This window comes from Homo sapiens, chromosome 6 (genome assembly GCF_000001405.40).
Source record: "Homo sapiens chromosome 6, GRCh38.p14 Primary Assembly".
NCBI classification, from domain to species: domain Eukaryota; kingdom Metazoa; phylum Chordata; class Mammalia; order Primates; family Hominidae; genus Homo; species Homo sapiens.
This window is the reverse complement of record NC_000006.12, coordinates 87,466,207-87,488,564: the sequence shown is the minus strand read 5'-3', so window position 1 is coordinate 87,488,564 and position 22,358 is coordinate 87,466,207. Positions and strand designations below refer to the sequence as shown.

The 22,358-nt window shown below is 40.9% G+C and overlaps 1 protein-coding gene, 1 long non-coding RNA gene and 1 pseudogene across 3 annotated transcripts in view, besides 5 other annotated features; 1 reads left to right on the top strand and 2 right to left on the bottom strand.

Annotated features, from left to right (window-relative positions):
• SLC35A1 (solute carrier family 35 member A1) overlaps nucleotides 1-15,591 on the bottom strand; it is a 39,363-nt gene extending 23,772 nt beyond the window's left edge. For both annotated transcript variants that reach the window (NM_006416.5, NM_001168398.2), the window contains exons 1-2: nucleotides 15,546-15,591; nucleotides 11,026-11,203 (exon numbers count right to left, since the gene is read on the bottom strand). In NM_006416.5, the coding sequence (NP_006407.1) occupies nucleotides 11,026-11,203; nucleotides 15,546-15,561 (194 nt within the window). In that variant the 5' untranslated portion in view covers nucleotides 15,562-15,591. The remainder of the gene's footprint in view (nucleotides 1-11,025; nucleotides 11,204-15,545) is intronic.
• RNU6-444P (RNA, U6 small nuclear 444, pseudogene) lies at nucleotides 13-120 on the bottom strand (annotated as a pseudogene).
• Nucleotides 3,334-4,533: an enhancer, noted in NCBI's record as "P300/CBP strongly-dependent group 1 enhancer chr6:88193750-88194949 (GRCh37/hg19 assembly coordinates)". NCBI's record gives its function as "activates an origin of replication core promoter dependent on BRD2, BRD4, P300/CBP, MED14 and CDK7 cofactors, with strong dependence on P300/CBP, by STARR-seq in HCT116 cells {active_cell/tissue: HCT116}" and the evidence as "EXISTENCE:reporter gene assay evidence [ECO:0000049][PMID:35650434]".
• Nucleotides 14,723-14,822: an enhancer, noted in NCBI's record as "active region_24796". NCBI's record gives its function as "activates an Ori minimal core promoter by ATAC-STARR-seq in GM12878 lymphoblastoid cells {active_cell/tissue: GM12878}" and the evidence as "EXISTENCE:reporter gene assay evidence [ECO:0000049][PMID:35858748]".
• Nucleotides 14,873-15,042: an enhancer, noted in NCBI's record as "active region_24795". NCBI's record gives its function as "activates an Ori minimal core promoter by ATAC-STARR-seq in GM12878 lymphoblastoid cells {active_cell/tissue: GM12878}" and the evidence as "EXISTENCE:reporter gene assay evidence [ECO:0000049][PMID:35858748]".
• Nucleotides 15,038-15,944: an enhancer, noted in NCBI's record as "H3K27ac-H3K4me1 hESC enhancer chr6:88182339-88183245 (GRCh37/hg19 assembly coordinates)". NCBI's record gives its function as "activates a minimal SCP1, AML or CMV promoter by ChIP-STARR-seq in naive and primed H9 embryonic stem cells {active_cell/tissue: H9 hESC(naive and primed)}" and the evidence as "EXISTENCE:reporter gene assay evidence [ECO:0000049][PMID:30033119]".
• Nucleotides 15,493-15,632: a silencer, noted in NCBI's record as "silent region_17374". NCBI's record gives its function as "represses an Ori minimal core promoter by ATAC-STARR-seq in GM12878 lymphoblastoid cells {active_cell/tissue: GM12878}" and the evidence as "EXISTENCE:reporter gene assay evidence [ECO:0000049][PMID:35858748]".
• On the top strand, nucleotides 15,620-17,115 carry LOC124901357 (uncharacterized). The gene is made up of 2 exons (XR_007059668.1): nucleotides 15,620-15,792; nucleotides 16,067-17,115. It is a non-coding gene; the product is annotated as an uncharacterized LOC124901357 (long non-coding RNA).

Below are 22,358 nucleotides of genomic sequence, written 5' to 3'. Positions count from 1 at the left end.
CTCCTTTGTTTTTTGAATGTGGAATGCTTTACAAATCTGCATGTCATCCTTGCACAGGGGCCATGCTATCTTCTCTGTACTGTCCAAATTTTTAGTATTATGTGCTGCCAAAGCAAGCACTCCTTTGTTGTTTCTTAAACAAGCTGCCTTCCATTTCTCTAAACAGAGCACACCTATCATGTGTTCCTCTTTATATTAGTCCTGGGGTTTCTGGTTATCCTGTCCAGAAAACAGCAATCTTTAAGGTACATGGAGTCAAATGACATTACAAATAAGATTGTTTTTACACGATCATTGTTTTTTAACAATGTCTTCCAATTCCATGAGATTAAATACTTTTATGTGATAAGAACTCCCAAATTTATATCTCTAGCCCAGACCTCTCTTCTGAGTTCCAGACCCATTTAATCCAACTGCCCATTTGGATGTCTCAAGACATTAAAAACTTTAAATTATACCTACCCAAAATCAAACTGTTGATATCTTTTTCCCCCAAATCTGTTTTTCCTGTTTCAAAAAACAAAAATAATAATAACTCTACCCAATTGTTTATACTAGGAAACACAGATATGCTTCCTGATACCTCCCTTTCCTTCCCCTACTATAGTTGATTATTATTATTCATGGACTGTACGTGTGAATTCTCCACTCATTAAAATGTATCTGTAACCCCCAAATCAATGCTGGTAACACTTGCAGTCATTGGCAGACATGTGCAGAGTGGCAAAAAATTTGATTCACCAAGTGTGCACATTCCTGGCTGACGCTGAACAAGTTAACATTCTGCCTTGTTTCCGCTTTCAGATCATAAACAAGTGCAATCTATTCAGTACCACATTTTTTGCATTTTTGTGCTTTGTGTTGGTGATTTTGTTTAAATGGCTCCCAAGCATTGTAGGGCTGACGCACTGTCTGATGTTCCTAAGTATAAGAAGGATATGCTATATATTATGGAGAAAATACATGTGATAGATAAGCTTTGTTCAGGCATGTTATAGTGCTGTTGGCCATGAGTTCAATGCTAATTAATCAATAATGTACATTAAATAAAGTGTCTTTAGATTGAAGCACACACAAAACAAGGTTATTGTATTGATTAATTGACAAAAATGTGATCAGTTGCTCACAGGAAACTACCCTGTATATCCCCTAGGAGCAGGTTATCCAAACCCATCACGAAGTCCTACAGATTCTACTGCCAGAGCATAACTCAAATCCATTAACTTCTCTTCGTGACCTGTGCTGTCATCCTAGCTGATTATCTCTTGCCTCTATTGTTTCCCTACTTCTAATTCATTCTCAAAGAGGTCAAAGTGACTCTCAACATGGGTTCTATGTTAGTCCCTCACTTAAACCATTTAATGACTTTCTTTTTCTTTTTTTTCTTTTGAGACGGAGTCTTGCTCTGTCACCCAGGCTGGAGTGCAGTGGTGTGATCTCAGCTCACTACAACCTCTGCCTCCCAAGTTCAAGCAATTCTCCTGCCTCAGCCTCCCAAGTAGCTAGAATACAGGCATGTGCCACCACGCCCAGCTAATTTTTGTATTTTTAGTAGAGATGGGGTTTTACCATGTTGGCCAGGCTGGTCTTGAACTCCTGACCTCAAGTGATCCACCTGCCTCAGCCTCCCAAAGTGCTGAGATTATAGGTGTGAGCCACCGCACCTGGCTCCACTCAATGATTTTTCTAATGCACTTCAGATTAAATCTAAAATCCTTAACAGGTCCATACTACTACTGTGATACCCTGATGACCTCTCCTGCTTCATCTCAGCACCAAAGTCAAGGACTTTTCTGCCTCAGGGATTTCAAACACGCAGTTCTCTGCCTCCTCTCTGCTCTTTTCTTGCCTAAAGTCTACTCAATTGACAGGTCTAGGTTTAAACGTAACTTCCTCAGAGAGGAAACCCTTTAATCCAAATGCAGGCCCTCTATCATGCATGTTTGTAGCACCCTCTACTTTTCCCTCATAACATCACCTATTTATTATTTATTATAATATTTGGTTCTCCAACAGACTATAAGTCCATGAGGGCAGAACTACACCTTTTTAATTTGCAGTGTTCTAGTGAAAACACTAGAATAGTGTTGAGTATATAATTGAGGTTTGATAGGTATTTTCTAACTAAATAAATGAATGCGTGAACCTGACTGTCCCATTATATCTTATTAACAATACCTTGAAACAACTTAGAATGACTATTTGCTTCCAATGTTTGGAAGGAATGAAACACAGATTTGAATATGGCAGTGGTATGTTATTATCTAAGTGAACCTTAATTATAACCAAAACATGGTTTCAGGTGCTACTTCGATAAGTTTCTGCCCCCACCTCCCACTCCCGTATAATATATGTACTTTAACAATTAGCCAAGACTATTCACTAAGCAAAGAACATTACTGAGCAAACAGCATCAGAGACCATACTAAATAAACAAACCACCAAATGGACTGCTCTATAATGAGATTAAGCTTTGCACAGTTCCAAAAAAATTGAAGTTCTAGTATAATACTTTGTATCAACCCTATAAAGTTATTGTACTTTATCACAGTGTAAAGAATGGGCAAAAAGGAAGAAGCTTTTACTTCATTTAATCATAGTTTTAAATGAAGTTTAATTTTTTTCCATTTAAATAGTAATTTCTTTTCCTTTCCCTGTATTCATTCTCCAGAAAACTCAAATCAACATTGAGCAAATGTTACTAATTTTTACACTAACTCTGCAGTATTTTTCTGGAAATATGGGGGAAATACACTATTTTAATCATCAGGATCTAAGTTCTTCTAATTTTTTTTTTTCTTTTTCTGAGACAGAGTTTTGCTCTGTTGCCCAGGCTAGAGTACAGTGGTACAATCATGGCTCACTGCAGGTCCTCGCAGGCTCAAGCAATCCTCCCACCTTAGCCTCCCAGGTAGCTGTGACTACAGCCACACACCACTACACCCAGCTAATTTTTTTATTTTTTGTAGAGATGGAGTCTCACCATGTTGACAGGCTGGTCTCCAACTCCTGGGCTCAAGAAATCCTCCTACCTTGGCCTCTAAACTGCTGGGATTACAGGTGTGAGCCACCACACCTGGCCAAGATCTAAGTTCTTCTTAATTTTTCTCCTCTGAAGAGAAAGTTCAAGTTCTAAACCTTTAGTTATTTCTAATATAATTCTTCCACAGCCTCCCATAATATCCTGAAATTGTCATCCTTTCTGTGAGATGATAAAGTCTTCCTTGATTTGAAAGCAAAGAAAAAAGTCTAATTTCATTTTTTTAGCTCTACACAATTATTTTAACATTACATGGGAAAAGAATTTTCAAGCAAATATAAATTCAAACATGAATCAACTTTGGTTTCCTGTGCATATAACAAATCATCTCATAACATTTTTTGTAACAATTATTTTCTGATATTTAGAAGCCTCTCCATCACAGCAAATAAAACACTGACATCCAACCTGTGTTTTAACAGACTAGATAACATCCTGTTTGCCTTTCATCTACTTACTCTTTTTGAATTACCAATTTTAATATGTGTACAAAGAATTGACAACACTCAGAGTACCTGGAAAATATTTTACTTTTTTGCAAACACTAAATCTAAAAGACCATTATAAAGCTCTAGGCCCTTTGATTTGCTGCTCCTCTTAACTGTTCATATCACTCTTAATGGCCCACAGTCTGGCCATGTATTTTATTCATCTGTTAGATACGAGTTCTAAATTTCTCTTCAAAGAATCAGCATGTCAGTACGTTCAATTCTTTGCCTTCTACTTTTAAACTTAACTTCTTTGTAAAGCACCTTTTCCGATTACCCTCTCCACTCTGACTCATTCTGATTACCTACTCCACCCTGACTCATTCCGATTACCTGCTCCACCCTAATTCCAATTACCTGCTCCACCCTGATTCATTCAGATTACCTGTTCATTCTCCATCCTGACTCATTCTGATTTCTTACTCTGCCATAACCATTTTTCCTGCCAAACCACTCACCCCGTTACTCTCTTTAAATTAGCCAATCGGAATTAGTTTAGCCTGTGCGGTCTAACCCTAGCCAATAGGTGAATGACACAGCAGCAGGGGCCACGTGCATCAGGAATAAGACCCCCTTTTCCTCCCTTGTCCAAGTGTGTGCTCACCACTGCTCCAACTGTGAGGGTGTACCCTTCTATAGAAGGAAACTGCCTTGCTGGGAAGAAAAAAAGAAAATTTTATATTCGAGTGCTATTTCTTTTGCAGCACCAAAACTTTATAACAATTTAGGGGCTCATCTGGGATTACATTCCCCTCCAGAGGCGGTCTCTGGTTCTCTCTTGTGAGGAGGTGCACCCCGCCCCCTTGTGGCGTCCTCAGGGGTGAGAAATCAGGACCCGCCCAGTGCAAGGAATAACCCGAGCTCTCAGCAACACAGAAAGAAACCAAACCGGCTGGCAACCTGAGGTAAAGGATCCTCACATACCACAGCAATGACTGTGCACAGACCAATGAAGAAGAAACCACGGGAGCCAGTAAAGTACTTCCTTGGTGGTCAAAGTCTGGAGGGCTGAATGTGTGTGTGCGTGAATGATCACAGACAACCCTGCTTGTGGTGTTGTGTGGATGGTGACAAGTCCTACTGCTGGATGGAGTGAGTGCGTCCTCTCTGCAGTTCCACAGCTACCTCGTATGGCTTAGGGCGGATCCTGCTGTGGGATTTATACCAGCACGCCAACACTAAGAAGGGCCTAATTCTCCCTTGGGGGAGCAGCCAGAGAGGACAACATGAGTGGGAAGTGTGCAAGGGACCTTCAGAGGGGGAAAGGGGAGGAAACATGTCAACCTCCCAGGATAGGCAAGTCAAGACACCCTGGTTTGAGGGGTTGAGGCTTCCGGAGCAGGCAAGGCAAGACATCCCTGGTTTGAGGGGTTGAGCCTTCCACGGCAGGCAAGGCAAGACATCCCTGGTTTGAGGGGTTGAGTCTTCCAGGACAGGCGAGGGAAGACACCCCTGGTTTGATGGGTTGAGCCTTCCGCTAATTTCAGGGGCTGAACCTCAAAGAACTGAGAAATCCCCATTACGAGGGGTTGAACCTCAAAAGAGGTGAAAAATCCCAATAGGGGTACATTGAACCTCAGTGAGGTGAGAAATCCCCATTGTGGGGGGCTGAACCTCACAGAAACCTCCAGTAGTAAGAAAAATATTCAGAACTCCCCTTTCGCTTCTTCTCGGGGGAAAGAAAGGCTAAACTCCACTCCCACTGGTCGCTCCCCTAGGGGAAGGAGGAGAGGGAAGAACAGCAGCATAAGCGGCTGGCAGAGGCAGGGAAAGACCAGCAGAGAGGAAAGAGAAACTGGGAAAGGAAGTCAGAGAGAGAGAGAGAAAGAGAAAGAGACAGAGAGTCAGAGAGAGAGAAAGAGAGAGAGAGAGACAGAGAGAAGTAATAAAAACAGTGTACCCTATTCCTTTAAAAGCTAGGGTAAATTTAAAACCTATAATTGATAATTGAAGGTCTTCTCCGTGACTCTATAACACTCCAATACCACCTTGTTGTCAGTGTAAACAAGGGCACAGCCTGAAAGCACTGAGATCACTGACGACCCATAGCCTTCCTATCAAAAATCCTTAACCCAGTAACCCGCAGATGACCCAAATGCATTCAATCTGTACCGGCAACTGCTTTGCTAACAGAAGAAAGTAGAAAAATAACTTTTAGAGGAAACCTCATTGTGAGCACACCTCACCCAGTTCAGAAGTATCCTAAGACAAAAAGGTAACTTACTAACTCAAAAATCTTAAAGTATGGGGCTATTCTGTTAGAAAAAGATGATTTAACATTAACCACTGATAATTCCCTTAACCCAGCAGGTTTCCTCACAGGGGATCTAAATCTTAATTAATTACCATATAAAGGTCCGACCAGACCTAGAAGGAACTCCCTTCAGGACAGGACGATAGATGGTTCCTCCCGTGTGACTGAGGGAAAAAGCCACAACGGGTATTCAGTAAGTGATAGGGAAACTCTTATAGAAGTAGAGTTAGGAAAATTGCCTAATAGTTGGTAAGCTGTTTGCACTCAGCTAAGCCTTAAAGTACTTACAGAATCAGGAAGGAGTGGTCTATACCAATTCTAAGTTAATTTAAACTAAAGAAAGTCTTATTAATAGCAAAGGATAATTGAAATACCAAACTTACAAGGTTTTCCACAAAGGTAAAGTTTGCCAAAAGTTAGCAGTGTAATATGTATTATCCTAACTTCTAATCTTGTGGCCTTAGGCAGTCTAGTCCACAGACCTGAAGGAAGTTTGCTTTGGAAAAGAATGGTTATCATCTTGGGGGAAAAAAAAGGAGGGGGGGGAGAATTTATATAAAAAGAATGTTATATGGTAAATTATTATCCTAAAATAAATTAACTGGTTATTTAAAGAAAGCGATGTTTACAGGAAGTCAGAAAATTGAGGCCTGTCGAAGATTGCGAAAGTCATGAAAAATGCTATAAAAGGGAACTTATGCAAGAAATGTTGTATAATTTAAAAGTAATTAGGCCTCCTGAATGTAAAACTATTGAAGAAACAGTTTATGTGCAAGGTGTATAATGAAAGTAAAATATACTTTTGGTAAAAGGATAATAAGGAGGCATAGAATGTGGATTTTTACCTACATTAAAAGGTTAAAAAAAATTTTGTTTTGAGCGTTTAAGCAAGTTTTAAAATGTTAATTGTAAAGGAAATTCTGTGTGTAACCATATTGGCTAAAGTTAAAGGGGTATCATCCAGTTTTTCTGTGAACTGGACATTAAAATAAAAGCACAATGGGTTTTTCTTAAAACACTAAAAAACACTAAACTGCTCTTTAACAAATTTTATAAAAGGTTAAAAAGAGTCTATGGAAATCTTACCTTATGGTCAGACATTAAAATCGGATAAATATGTCTACAGGGTTTTATTAAAATTGAGTTTAATATTAATAATACACTAATATAAAGGTGAAATTTAGCTTATCTGGTATAATCATACAGGAAGCACTGTCAAATATAAAATGGTGTTTGGCTTTCTTTGGTCTAAAAACTAATAAAAATAGGTTTCTCAGGAAGTTTCTAAAGGAAGTTTCTCAGGAAGAAGGCACTAAGGACTATAAAGTCCACTGCTGGTGTCCCCCAATTTTTTTTTTTTTTTTTGAGTCAGAGTTTCGCTCTTGTTGCCCAGGCTAGAGTGCAATGGCGCGATCTCGGCTCACCACAACCTCCGCCTCCCAGGTTCAAGCGATTCTCCTGCCTCAGCCTCCCAAGTAGCTGGGATTACAGGCATGTGCCACCAAGCCTGGCTAATTTTGTATTTTTTAGTAGAGACAAGGTTTCTCCATGTTGGCCAGGCTGGTCTTGAAACTCCTGACCTCAGGTGATCCACCCGCCTCGGCCTCCCAAAGTGCTGGGATTACAGGCATGAGCCACCGCGCCCAGCCTGGTGTCCCCAAATTTAAAACAAAAGATCAGTTTCTCATAAATTATATACTTGGTTTATCTTCCACTTTCCTTTCCCTCAAAACTACAAGTCTTTTAGCACAGGTACCACCCCTAGAATTTCTGGTAAACGGGCACTAGCCTGGGGATCACACCCTCATCAAAGGGTAGAAAGAAGGAAAACTCAAGCCAGCCTGAGAAGGACCCTACCTTGTGCTGCTAACCACCAAGACTATGGTTTGTACCACAGAAGGGGGATGGACACATCACACCCGAGTCAAGCAAGCACCATTACCATCAGAATCATGGACCATTGTTCCTGGATCAAGCCTTACCAAATTAAAGCTAAGAAAAGCTTAGTCTATCTATCTTTTCCTTCCTTTCCTAACACAGTGCCTATATCCATTACTGTTCCTACCACTAGCAACTCTAACCCCACTTTAGAGCGTTTCTATGGTTTAGGAGCAGAAGTCACTGGAAAGGACCCTATAGGCTTCTTTAAGATGCGCTTTGTTCTCCCTGCTCTACCTCCTACAACTGCCCCTTTCACAAACCTACGAAATAAAACTATGCCTCGCCTCATGCCAAATGACAAAAGCAAGGTCTCAGTAGTAGAAATAGGAGACCTAAGGCAAACCATAGCTATTGACAGGGTATAAAGATGTAAATGCCTGGTTAAAATGTATTAAATATTCCATTCACACTTTAAACAAAAGTAACTGTTACACTTGTGTGCACGGTAGGCTAGAGGCCCAGGTTGTTACCTTTCCACTGGGATGGTCCTCAAATCAAGTGGACATGGAGTGCATGGTAGCTTTTTCAAGATTCTACTGCCTGGAATAACAAATTGTGCTAAGCTCTTTCTCTGCTATTTCCTGAAGTCCAACACCCTGCAGGTCAGCCCCCAAGGGCCATCCAGCCTCCATCTTCCAAAACCAATTTTACCTCGTGTCTCTAACGACACGGGGAAAAATTTGGCATTTCTTGGAGACTTAACAGGATGCAGTGAAGTTAGGCACTTCCAAGAGGTGACCCGTCAATCTGCCCTTATTCATCCCTGAGCGGATGTATGGTGGTATTATGGAGGACCTTTACTGGACACTCTGCCAAATAATTAGAGCAGTAGTTATGCTCTAGTTCAATTGGCTATCCCTTTTACTCTGGCATTTCATCAACCAGAGGAAGGAAAAATAAGACATCATAAAGTGAGAGAAGCTCCTTATAGGTCATTCAACTCTCATGTCTATTTAGATGCAATTGGAGTCCCACGGGGAATACCAGATCAATTTAAAGCCCGAAATCAAATAGCTGCAGGATTTGAGTCAATATTTTGGTGGGTCACAATTAATAAAAACATAGATTGGATAAACTACATCTATTATAACCAACAGCAATTTATGAACTACACTAGAGATGCTGTTAAAGGAATAGCTGAGCAATTAGGGACTAACTGCCAGATGGCTTGGGAAAATAGGATAGCCTTAGACATGATATTAGCAGAAAGAGGAGGAGTTTGCATCATGATTAAAACTGAATGTTGTGCCTTCATCCCAAACAACACTGCCCCTAATGGAAGTATAACAAAGGCATTGCAAGGTCTGACTGCTCTGTCCAATGAGTTAGCCAGCAGCTCAGGGGTAAATGACCCCTTTACAGGATGGCTAGAAAAGTGGTTCGGTAAATGGAAAGGAATAACAGCCTCAATTCTTACTTCCCTCACAGCTGTAATGGGTGTACTTATTCTTGTCGGGTGCTGTGTCATACCATGCATCTGTGGGTTGGTGCAGAGTAAGTGCTCATAGAAATGGCACTTACTAAAACCTCCCTTAACTATCCTCCACCTTATCCAGAGAAGCTTCTTCTTTCGGAAAATTGAGCAGAACTAAGCCAAGGCATGTTAAAGAAGTTTGAAGAGAAAGAGGTGTAAGGAAAATGCAAGAGGAGGGGATTGTTAGATATGAGTTCTAAATTTCTCTTCGAAGAATCAGTATGTCAGTATGTTCAATTCTTTGCCTTCTACTTTTAAATTTAACTTCCTCGTAAAGCAACCTTTTCTGATTACCCTCTCCACCCTGACTCATTCCGATTTCCTGCTCTGCCATAACCATTTTTCCCGCCAAACCACTCATCCCATCACTCTCTTTAAATTAGCCAACTGGAATTAGTTTAGCCTGTGCAGTCTAACCCTAGCCAATAGGGGAACGACAGAGCCATAGAGGCCACGTGCATAAGGAATAAGTCCCCTTTTCCTCCCTTGTCCAGGTGTGCGCTCACCATTGCTCCATCTGTGAGGGCACACCCTTCTATAGAAGGAAAACTGCCTTGCTGAGAAGAAAAAAAGAAAATTTTGTATTCGAGTGCTGTTTTTTTGTGTGTGGCACTGAAACTTTATTTATAACACATATTTTTCATATTCGAACTACTTCAAGTGGATTAGTATAAGCCTTTTCAAGATCTAGAACCAATTTTCAACACTTTCACTCGGTATCTTTCCCAAAATGATAGCCATGCTTGCAGTTGCATTATCAACTGTCTCATCACACACTGCTGAAGCTGAAGCAATCACAATGTCGTGTAACATTTCAATATTTAAATGTAATGTCTGTTTCTACATAAAAGCCTACACACAACACTATTCCTCCCTGCTTCCCTTCACTCACCAACACACATCTTGAAACCTGTATGACTTCTTAACTGCCCCAATGACTCCTATAGGTCCCCATCTCATAAATCTTTCCCCTGGTAATTTACCTATTAGATTTTATTTAATTTTCAGCACCCCATATTATTTTCTCAAATTAAAAAAATGAACAAACTGAAGCTTAAAGAGGTTACAAGTGTGTATGCAGCCACAATCTCAGTCTAGGATTAAAATTAGGTCTATCTCCTCCAATGCCCCTAATTCTTAACCCTCTCTTATACCACATCCTTAGCTAAACAATTCTTGCATGATGTTTTTGATTCAAAGCCCGGTGCTGCCACATATTAACAGTGTAATCTTAAGGAACCTCAGATGCTGCGTCAATAAAACAGGGGTAAAGTACTTACCTTGAAAATGTGGAAGAAGTAAATGAGAAAACACAAAAAACACATAGCACAGTGCCTAGCACTTAACATAGGAAACACTCAAGAAATGTTATTATTATTATATTCATCCAAAACACAAGTCAATAATTGTTTTCTGTAAGGGCCAAACAGTAAATATTTTAGGCTTTGCAAGCCAGTCAGTCTCCATTACACCAAAACCAGGGAGCAAGCTGGATTTGGCCCATGAGACATAGTTTGCCAACTTCTATTCTACAGCAGCGTTCTTCAACCTCAGCAGTACTGACATTTGGGGCTGGATAAATCTTTGTTGTGAGGCTGTCATGGGGATTGCAGGATGTTTAGCAGCATCCTTGGTCTCCACCCACTAGATGCCAGTAGCATCTCTCAAGTTGTGACAACTAAAAAATCTTCTGGGGGGCAAAATCACCCCTAGTTGAGAAACACTGACCCAGAGCAATTAAACATATAAAGATGTAGCTTGAATTTTCTAACAAATACCCTCACCAGGTAGAAAAATAATTTAACACACTATAAGTATTTATACTCACTTAGCTAAAATTCCCACACTTAGCAATAACTTTATAACTTCTGTGATACACACGGCTGTGGTTGAAAAGTAGAGTTCTTTGTCTGATGTCCTTGTGTATCTTAAAGCTATGGTATAGACTGCAGCCATCAGGGTCATCACTGCCAAGCAGTATAACTTGAATAATAAAGTGACATTGTCTGGAAAATACGTGCAACAAAGACATTACTTAGTAGACAATATATGTATATATAAGTTAATAAACTAGTTATAGCCTAAAAATACTTTCCAATTCCAAGCACAAAATATTTTCTAAAACTCATGCTTAAAAATTTTTTTCAAAACAATGTTTGCCAATTACATGAGCGTGCACACACACACACACACACACACACCACAGCTGACTTTAAACATCAGCCAATTAGGCATAAGTTTTGTTCCTAGGGAGTGCCCCAATTGCAAGACTATGTAGCGTACTGATTCTAGTTCAGGATGTTATAAATTACATTATATATATATTGGTGGTGGTGGTGGGTTTTTTTGGAGACAAGGTCTCACTCTGTCCCCCAGGTTGGAATACAGTGGCGCGATCTCAGCTCACTGCAACCTCCACCTCCCAGGTTCAAGCGATTCTCGTGCCTCAGCCTCCCGGGACTACAGGCGTGCACTACCACAGCCAGCTAATTTTTTGCATTTTTAGTAGAGATGGGGTTTCCCCATGTTGGCCAGGCTGGTGTCTAACTCCTGACCTCAAGTGATCCGCCCACCTCCGCCTCCTGAAGTGCTGGAATTACAGGTGTGAGCCACCGTGCCAGACATATATTTTAGGACAGGGTCTCACTCTGTCACCCAGGCTGGAGTGCAGTGGCATGATCTTGACGTGATCTCGGCTCACTGCAAACTCCACCTCCCGGGTTCAAGCAATTCTCCTGCCTTAGCCTCCTGAGCAGCTGGGATTACAGGCACCCGCCACTACACCCAGCTAATTTTTGTATTTTTAGTAGGGAAGAGGTTTCACCATGTTGGCCAGGCTGGTCTCGAACTCCTGACCTCAGGTGATCCACCCACCTCGGCCTCCCAAACTGCTGGGATTACAGGCATTAGCCACCACGCCTGGCCCCAGCACATATTTTAAATATTTTTATGATTACAAACTTGTGGATGCAAAGCATGAAACCAACTGCAGCAATGTATATTCTAGATTTAAAGGCAGCAGAAAGAAAATAATAATTGAGAAATGAGTGGGGCTTAATATAAAACTTTTTCACAATAAGAACTTACAACTAGCCACTCATTTCATTGCATTATACAAAACAATAATTCATAACACAGGAAAAGAATATTAAGAACACACCTCTATAAAACTAGAAATGCAGGAAACATATAAACACTTAATTTAAGAATTGCCTGCAAGTATATCTGAGCAGCAGCCATCTCTCAGGCACCAGAGCCTGTCCAAGACCTTTGGTAAAACCATAAGCAGTGGGTACCAAGTCTCCCTCATACTTCCTTATTCCCAGACCTGCTCGGGTACTGCCATCACCCAAGGATCAAACTATTTCTACTTTCCTCACCCACCTCCCACCTATTGTCCCCCAGTTCCCCTTCACCTCCATTCAAATCTTTAGGCTCAAGGTTAAACAGGGATCAGCAAATTTTTCTGCAAAGGGCCAGAAACAAATATTTTAGGCTTTCCAGAGCCATACTTTGACAACTCCAGGTTAAGAACCAGAAGGACACCAGGTGACTCCAGCCTGCTACTTTAACTACATTATATGCTAAGTAAGATTTTGTTCACTGCTTTGGGAGCCTAATCACAATTCAAAGATAGTTTTCATAGGGAAATAAAACAGGAGTTTCAAACAGATTATCTTTAGATACAGTATGGTTGGATCTTACAAGGAAACAGGTTCTTCAATATAAATATTTTCCCGAGTGCATTAAAGAATATTTTCTGAATTGTAGGCAATTTTTAAAAACCATATCAGGTTTTAAATAAAAAGTAAAACAGAAGAAATAGTTTTTAACTGCTTAAACTTTCTTTCCAAAAGATCTGAGGAGCCAAAAAATCAGTGTTTATATAAAAGGAAGTGAAGGAGATCACTATAATACTTCCTTTGTTCTAAAACTTTCCTACACAAGGGAAGAAATATGACTTCAAAAATATACAGCAATAACCTTTAATCAGTAGAAGAGAAGGCACTTCCCATCTTCTAGATAAAGGGTGAACAAACTATATATGTCGCCAGTTTACATGAGGCCTGTGAACTCACGATTGTTTTACATTTTTAAATGGTTGATAAAAAATGTAATAACATCTTGTGATATGTGAAAATTGCAGGAAATTCAAATTCTAGTGTCCATGAATAGTTTTATTAGAACATAGCCATGCTCATTTGTTTCTAAATTATCCAGGCTACTTTTTTTTCCCTACAACAGCAGATCTGAGTAGTTATGACAAGAGACTATCCAGCCCTTCACAGGAAAAGTTTGCCATCTCATGTCCTAGATTATCAACACTTTCATAAATAAGAGAAGTTAGGGCTGATAAACTAAAAAGTACTTTATTTTAGCTACTGTACAGGTTCCTGATTCCAAAAACAACAAAGTGAATATTTAAACACTAAACCAAATATTGATAGCCTACAAACATATTCTGACTTATAATATTGTCATTAACTTGAAAAAATACCTTTTTGCATAGTGAGTATATGGGAATATATATTATATTCTTGAAAATAACTACTGATCTAAGTGGAAGGGTAATCAAATAAGTTTAGGTATGTGCAAAACAGATTGGGCTTTGACATGGAATACCAGTTTTTAAACGTATTTCAACTTTTAAATACTAAATGTTTTTAAGTACGATTTTCTCTGGCAGTTTAACATCAGACCAAACTATTTCTTGTTCACTCCATTCACAAATTCTCCAGTATAAAACTTCAGTTATTAGCAATTTCAATTATTTCAGGGTAACAGCAAAAGTCCATATGTAATCACTTCAAATTGGGCAAATAATTCAAATCACACCCAATGCCAGTAACTATAAAGCTAGCCCACAACTCAACTGGCAGCCACATCTTAACCCTGCATTGTTCCCTGCTTCTCACGAAATTCTATTAGCTCCCATATAGTGTTTGTGTGGAAATGTCCCCCAAAAGAAACTTACAGTTTAAAATGTTTTTTTTCGGTTATGTTTTACTATAGTTTATGGGGACATTATTTGTAATACTTAAGAACTTAGAAATTCTGTAAGTCCCAGATAAATCCTTTGTGGATATTCGGAAACTATGGAAACTGTAGTTTTGTTAGGATTACAATCAAGGCTCAACAAATATGTATTGGCAATAAGCCTAAACCTTTACATTGTTGCAGCTATTTCAAGTAATGATTTGACTTCTGTAATTTATAAGTTTTCGTTCGGATCAATTTTGCTATCCCCATTCCATTTTAGTTATCAAAACAATTCTATTTCTTTTTCTTTTATTTCCTGTGTTGCTACAAAAAAAGGCTTTTAAGATTGGACTTATTTGAAATGAAACAGAAAGAAGACATAAGAGAAGCATATGCAACTAAAGACAATGCCCCTGGGCAGGGCCTGATGAGAAACATGGACCCCGCAACAGGGAAAATAACTTGAAACCCACGCAAGAAGATATTCCTTATGTATTCGTTCAATATTTATTCAAGGGTGAAGCCAAGTGCTCTATGGAGGAAGGGTGGAGCAAGAATCCGGGTGTTGCCCAACTTCTCCTGGTTAATGCACCACAGTCAAAGAATCCACCTCTGGTCCCAACTTACACACACTGCTCAGCAAAAAGTGGTGCGGAGTCAATTAGACTCGCCCTCCTTAAATGTCAATTAGTCAACAAATACGCCTTCACCCGAATGTGCCATCCCTCAGGAGGAGGGAGGTGGATCTCAGCTTCCACCCCAAATAGCAGCATACAGCATTCTCTATAATTACACACAGCATACAGGTGGGAACTGTTAACGACTGTTATCTTCCTTTCGTTACGATTTCAGTGCTGTTTTGACGCCCCAGTGATGTCTTTAGTGGTTGTTGCATGGCCCAGCCGCCGCATGGGATCTGCGCCCGGAGCCTGCCTTTAAGCCTCTGAGCATCCACAGGGTAGGAGGCGCAGAGGAGACCGGAGCCGCGGGGCCAGGGTGAAGAACTGTCCTGCCTCGCTGGGTAATGCGGTCCAGCCCCGGACCCACGCCCTGGCCTCTCTCCGGGTCCGCCGCAGCCCCGGCCTGTCAGAATTCGGTTCCCACCCACTCCCAGCTAGTGGAGGTCAGTGCGGTCTCTGACTCCGACCTGCCCAGCGCGGAGTCAGCCGCGGAGACTGCAGCCGCAGCGGAAGGCAGGCTGCCCTGACTGCCGGGAGCGGCTCCACGCAAACTCCTGACGCCTCAGCCAGGCCCCAGAGGCACTGGGCAACCAGGGTGCTCCGCTGCCCGACAGGGGCTGACCAGCGCAGATGCTCGCCCGCCGCCGCCCCCCGCGGACTCCCCACTCCCAGCAGACCCAGTTCTCACCTCTCGGGGCAGCCATGGTTCCCCGACAGCCCCCCGCGGAACTGACGCCCGCCCCCTCCGCGCCCCCGCGCAGGACACCGGGGACCGCCCCTTGTGGTCATAGAGACGAAGCCGCTCGGCCTAGAGCGCCTCGCCGGCCTCCCGGTCGGCCACGCACTAAAACTGGGCTCAGGAATCCAAGCTACACCCCAAAATGGGGAGAACGCGGATCGAAGGGAGGCCTTCCCGGCCGCGTCCTAGGTGACAGGTGTGTGAAATTCGGTTGGGGAGGTAGTTCTGTAAACTGCGTCTCCCCGCCAGCTAAGGAAGTTGAGTGAAGGGAGCGTTGCCGTCTGGGAATCGTAGTCCTCACAAAGGCGTGAGTAGGCGGCAAATAAGGATTTGGGTTTAGCCTTGGGGATTCACTCCTGTCAAAGCTGTTAGAGAAGCTCCCAGAACTCGTAAAGTAACAGAAACTACTTGCGGCAACATTTGTAACTTCCACCTGGCTCATTATCTTCCACTGTTACCTTGTGTTCTAGATAAGTTATAATTTATTCTACATATCGTTCAGAAGTCTTGTGCCTGTTCCATATCGTCAGCAGTCATCGGTTGTATTTACCCAGCCAGGCATTCTAACTAATGATCTTCGCACAACAAAACGGCCTTTAAAAAATCAGATGTATCGGCCGGGCGTGGTGGCTCACGCCTGTAATCCCAGCACTTTGGGAAGTCGAGGCAGATGGATCACCTAAGGTCAGGAGTTCGAGACCAGCCTGGCCAATATGGCGAAACCCCGTCTTTACTAAAAATACAAAAAATTAGCCGGGCGTGGTGGCGCGCACCGGTAATCCCAGCTACTCAGGAGGCCGAAGCGGGAGAATCACTTGAACCCGGGAGATTGCAGTGAGCCGAGATTGCGCCCCTGCACTCCAGCCTGGGCGACACAGCGAGACTTCGTCTCAAAAAACAAAAAAAATTAGATATATCAACAGGCATTTTAACCACTATAATCTCCACTTTCACTAGGGGATGTTAATTAGCTATCATAATTGATATTAGAAATAATTCATTGGTGAAATAAATGATGTTCAAGATATGTGGATTGGTTTAAAATAATATGAAAATACCTCAGCACTTACAGGAATAGGGATGCAAGATTCTGAGCTGCCCAGCAGCCCACACCTTCTGCAGCATGTTCTTTCCCCAAAATTGTCCTTTTAGAGGGTTGGTTGTATACCATTGTCTTGTTAAATATACATATAGATATATCTGGTCTGTTAACATTGTTGGAACATTTTGCATGCCTTATTAGCATCATATTAATATTGGGAGGGGCTCCCAGGAGACCAGAGTTGACTTTGTAGAGGCAGACATTTGATTAATCTCATTTTGCAATAGTGTTGGACTTTTCCTCTACCTGGTAGTAAGTGTGCTCACTGGTGCTAATCTTCCCTTATTGTAATTGATACAGTTTCCACTAGTAGAATTATTCAGTTCTCTACTGTGTATGTACTTATGCATACATTTAAACAATATTCATATATGTACGTGAAATTAATTTTAAAAATTAAAAATATTATATCATATAGTCCTTCGTTTTACAGCTACTGCTTTGTATGGTTTATCTTGTCCCATTTTGGACTATCATTATAGTGTCAGCTTACATCAATTAAGTATAATTTCTAAATGCTCAATTTGTTCCAAAAGGCACTTGTAAGCCTGCCTCTGTTTTCAAGTCTGCACCAGCTGTTTTTACTTTTTTTTTTTTTTTGTCTTTTTTTCTTCTTGTAGAGATTGTGGGTGGGGGCGTCTCACTTTGTTGCCCAGGCTAGTTCTCGAACTCCCCACCTAAAACAATCCTCCCACCTCAGCCCCCCAAAGTTCTGGGATTACAGGTGTGAACCACCACACCTGGCCTGCACTAGCTTTTTGAAGCATGTTTTAATTTCTGGCAACAAGAGGTTTTGTTTTTTCCTGTCCTAGGTGGTAGAATCAACTAGGAACTATCATTCCTTCTGGTGAGGAAGCGCATTTTACACACACACACATGCACACACACGCACACGCACACACACACACACACAGAGATCCCAATTAAAGTGGTGGGTCAAATGTTGCTGAGCCATTTTTGTGGCATTTCTGGTTCACATAACATCATGCTGTTGAATCCTACTTTTCTTATACATTTTCATTGCCTCAAAAGACTATTATACTTCACTGGCATCAAACTTAACTAGATTTTCATGCCTCTTTGTCCTAACCCAGTTAGCCCAATACCAACAGGACAAATCTGCCAAACTATAGTCTGACAAAGTTGAGCTTACTGATGCCTTCTGATATAAAGTGGGTATTTGTCCCTGCCCAGATGTGATGTTGAATTGTAATCCTCAATGTTGGAGGTGGGGCCTGGTGGGAGCTCTGGATCATGAGGACAGAACCCTCAAGAATGGCTTGGGCCATCGCCTTGGTGATAAGTGAGCTCTTGCTCTGAGTTCACAGGTGATCTGGTGTTTTAAAAGTCTCTCTCTCTCTTTCTCTCTCTCTCCTGCTCTGGCCATGTGATGTGCCTGCTCCCACTTCGCCTTCCACCATGAGTAAAAGCTACCTGAGGCCTACCCAGAAGCATATGCCAGCACTGTGTTTCCTGTACAGGCTGCAGAATCATGAGCCAATTAAACCTATTTTCTTATGCATTACTCAGGCTCAGGTATTTCTTTATAGCACTGCAAGAACCACCTAAAACACATTCCAATGAGGGAAACTGAACACCAGAGGTATCTCAGGAAACAAAAAAGATAAATTTATAGAATTTTAGGGAAGGATGGGATTAGGTGAAATTTAAAGGAAGCAGTGTTTGATAAACTCAAAGCAGGACTATATGTATCCAATAGGGACTGTAGAACAGTCTCAGGATCCTGTTTCTTGAAAACTACAAAGTTACCATAGATGTGGAATGTTGTATTCAGGAGCCCCTTAATTGAGGCTGCTTCTTTGTATGAAAATGATGTAGATCCCCCCAAGCAAAAGTAGGGTGTTTCATTCTTACTGATGTAATTTCAAGCAGCAAGTTTTCCTAGAGTATATGATTTTAGAGAACAAAGTTTTTCAGTGAATTAGAAAGCAAACACTCAAAGAAGGGCCTTGCTATTATACTTTATAGTGTCAGCATATACTTAGTTATTTCCCATTAACTTTGCAGCAGGGTTTACCTGGGTTTGTTATCCCAGCTCAATTAATGACCAAGCAGCTATTTACAGTCTTACTCTGAACTAATTTTTACTTTCTCACTCTGAATTATCCTCAGTCTTGGAGGAAAAAAATATTGATTTAATGTCTTTCTTTCATGTGTGCCTAGTTTTCCTTACAACTCTGGTTAGAGAAAGCAGCAGCAATCCTTAACATATGAGATACAAGCCCCTGTGCCTGATAAGATAACCTTACAGTGCTTCAAGCAGCCATTGCTAATGCCACTTGAGTCCCTAATGATTTCTGATTGTCACTAGAAAACTACAGTATTTGCCTCAATCCCCTGCTCTCTTCCATTTCCTGCTCATGTATCAGAGCTACCCTAGTCTCAATGATGTATATAAAAAGAAGCCCAGTACTGTATCCATTGGTAATAAAGTAAAAGTATGAACTTAATTAAATAAAAAGGCTGTGAGGAAGCAAATACCAAAAGGCTTAAGGAGGTTATAATTGAATTCAAATATGGTAGCTATATAATAGATTATTAAATGTGGTAATGTTTAAAGAATAGTAAGCAGTTAACCATAAAGAACATATATAGATATAGATACCAAAAGAAAATTATTTCCCTGACAGTTTAAGCATATTTCTTTCATTGTGCTATTAAGCATCCAAAACCTATTTGCTAAGTTATTGTTTTTATTTTATTTATTTTTATTTTTTGAGACAGAGTCTTGCATTGTTGCCTGGGCTGGAGTCTAATGGCACAATCTTGGCTCACTGCAACCTCCGCCTCCAGGGTTCATGCAATTCTCCTGCCTCAGCTTCCTGAGTAGCTGGGATTACAGGCACACACCACCACACCCAGCTAATTTTTTGTATTTTTAGTAGGGACGGGGTTTCACTATATTGGCCAAACTGGTCTCAAACTCCTGACTTCCTGATCTGCTGCCTCAGCCTCCCAAGTTATTGTTATTTTAAAGCAATTATTTCCTACAGTATAATATGACTAAAAAGCCAATAATTGTCACATTTTATAATTGATAAAAGGATACAGGGAGATAATGTAAAATTCAATGTCTGGATTAGGAATTAAACATGAGTAATAATCATGTGTATCCAGACATTTCATATTTGAGCTTAACTATCCCTTGCCTCTCTTTTCTTTTTTCATTACCGTAATCCCTCTTTCCTTTTCCTGCCAGTCACTGATGGTTTGTACCTATTTCTACCATTTTATGCTTGCTTTGCATCAATGGTATTTCCACTCAAGCCAACTCTAGGAAAAGAGAGTTTGACAATTGCCTACTCCACTGATAACTCTAATCCATCATCCTCTTTTGTTATTCACCATTTTTTGAAAGTCATAATGTGCCAAGCATTATTCTAGGCATTAACTGAGGGCTAGAAAACAAAAAGTGCAGAAAAATGGGCAAGGGGGTACAATAGACCTGAAACATTGGAGAATCTCTATTCTCTTAGCTAAGATTGACATGGCACTTACCAGGTAAGTGCTTTTTATGTGTTAACTTATTTAATCCTTATGACAACCCAATCAATGAATTTGGAACTATTATTATCTCATTTTTATGATACAGAAACTGCAGCAGAGAGGTGTTAAGTGGTACAGCTGGTAAGTAGAAGAGCTAGACTTTTCTTCCATGATCACAGAGCTTACTTTACATCTTTTTTCTATTCTTCTGACTGCTACTCTGTCTTATTTTGTCTTCTCTTCCTCCTCATGTAACCCCTATTCTCATGGGGATGACCTCCCAAATTATCTTTGTGCAGCCCAAATTCCTATCACCTCTGCTTTACTATCCTTGTCATCTCTTAAACTCAAATTTTCTAGTGCTGAACATGTTATCCTTTTTGACCAACCAGCTCCCCTTCTCAGTTATCCTTTATCTCCTAGGGCAGAAAGCCTGAGGTCATACTTTGAATTTTTCTTCCTTTTCCTGAGATATTATATCTTGTCCGCTTAATTTAATCTAGCATTTGCCCCCCAACATCCCCCATCATGCATGCCCCGTTCTTGCAGGAGCTTCCTAGCCATCTCTCCAAAGCGAGTATCCCTCTCCCACAATCAATATTCTACTCAAGAATCTGCCATGATTTTCTAATGTCCTACCACAGGAAGGCAAAATGTTTCTCTGCTTGGCTTTCAAAGTCCTCCAGAAAGTAAACCAACCAACTCTGTTTATTCAACTTTATTTGCCAGTACTTCCTCAAAAATAATCTCCTTTTCCCTCTTTACCATTTTTCTCCCTCTCCTTTTGCAATAACTACTTTATTGCTGAATTCTATTAGCTCCCACCTTGACTATTCAAATAATCACTCAACGAATACCCTGCTTCCAGTTTGCCCTTTCATTCCTTCTTTTTTTAATTCATTCATTTATCCAACAAGATACAAATGCCAGGGGATATAAAGATGACTAATGCATAATTCAAATCTCAAGAAATTCAAATTTAACAGGAAGAATACAGATGCACTACTATCTATACATCAATTTATTTTAAGTGCTATAATAAAAGTAATAATAAAATCCAATGAAAATTCAAAGAAGGAAGCAATCAACTTGCTCACAAGAAATGGGGAAAACTTTCATGGAAAAGATAAAGTCTGATCACACTCTTTGAGGACTGTACCTGTGGACTACATTCCAGGGCAGAGTGTGAAAAGCACAAGTTAAGAGTAGGTGTATAAAAGACCATTACCTATTTGGGCTGGGCGTGGGGGCTCACGCCTGTAATCCCAGCACTTTGGGAGGCCGAGGTGGGCAGATCACTTGAGGTCAGGAGTTCGAGACCAGCCTGGCCAACATGGCAAAACCCCATCTGTACTAAAAATACAAAAATTAGACGGGCATGGTGGCACATGCCTGTAGTCCCAGCTACTCAGGAGGCTGGGGCATGAGAATCACTTGAACCAGGGAGGCAGAGGTTACAGTGAACCAAGATCACGCCACTGCACTCCAGCCTGGGCAACAGAGCAAGACTCTATCTCAAAAAAATAAAAAAAATAAAGACCATGACCTATTTGAAGAGTTTTGGTTCAATCTGGCTAATGTGTGTGGTGTGTGGAGAGAGTATGGGAAGAGTAGGAGAGGAAACTGGAGGATAAATGGAGATCATATTTTAAAAAGTTTTACATAATACATGAAGGAGGTTTTAGTTCATTCCCTAGGAAGCGGACAAGAGTCTTGGTGACTTTTAAGCAACTGAGGCAAAGGCTGTGGGGAAGAGGAGGCCAGATGACAGGATCAGATTTATGCATGAGAAAACATCCTGATGAACCATATAGAAAAATGGAGAGAGCAGTGACCCAGGCAGTAAGACAAAGTCCTGCTGGGGAGGTGAGAATAGGAAGACATGAATCTCAATGACAATTCAGGTCAAATGAACAGGGCTTGAAGGCTAGTAAAGTGTAGGGGGAGAAAGACAGGAAGTTTTTAACTTATGCTACTGAGTAAGGCAGTGATGCCTTTGAAAATAGAAGAAAATAAAGAGAAAGAAACAAGTTTGGCAGAGAAAGTTATTTTGATCTGTGACCTGCTGAAATGGGGGTGACCATCAGACATTAAATTCAGCATATGGTTGGAAATCTTCAGAAGGATAGGGCTTGAATAGATGGTGGAGGTCC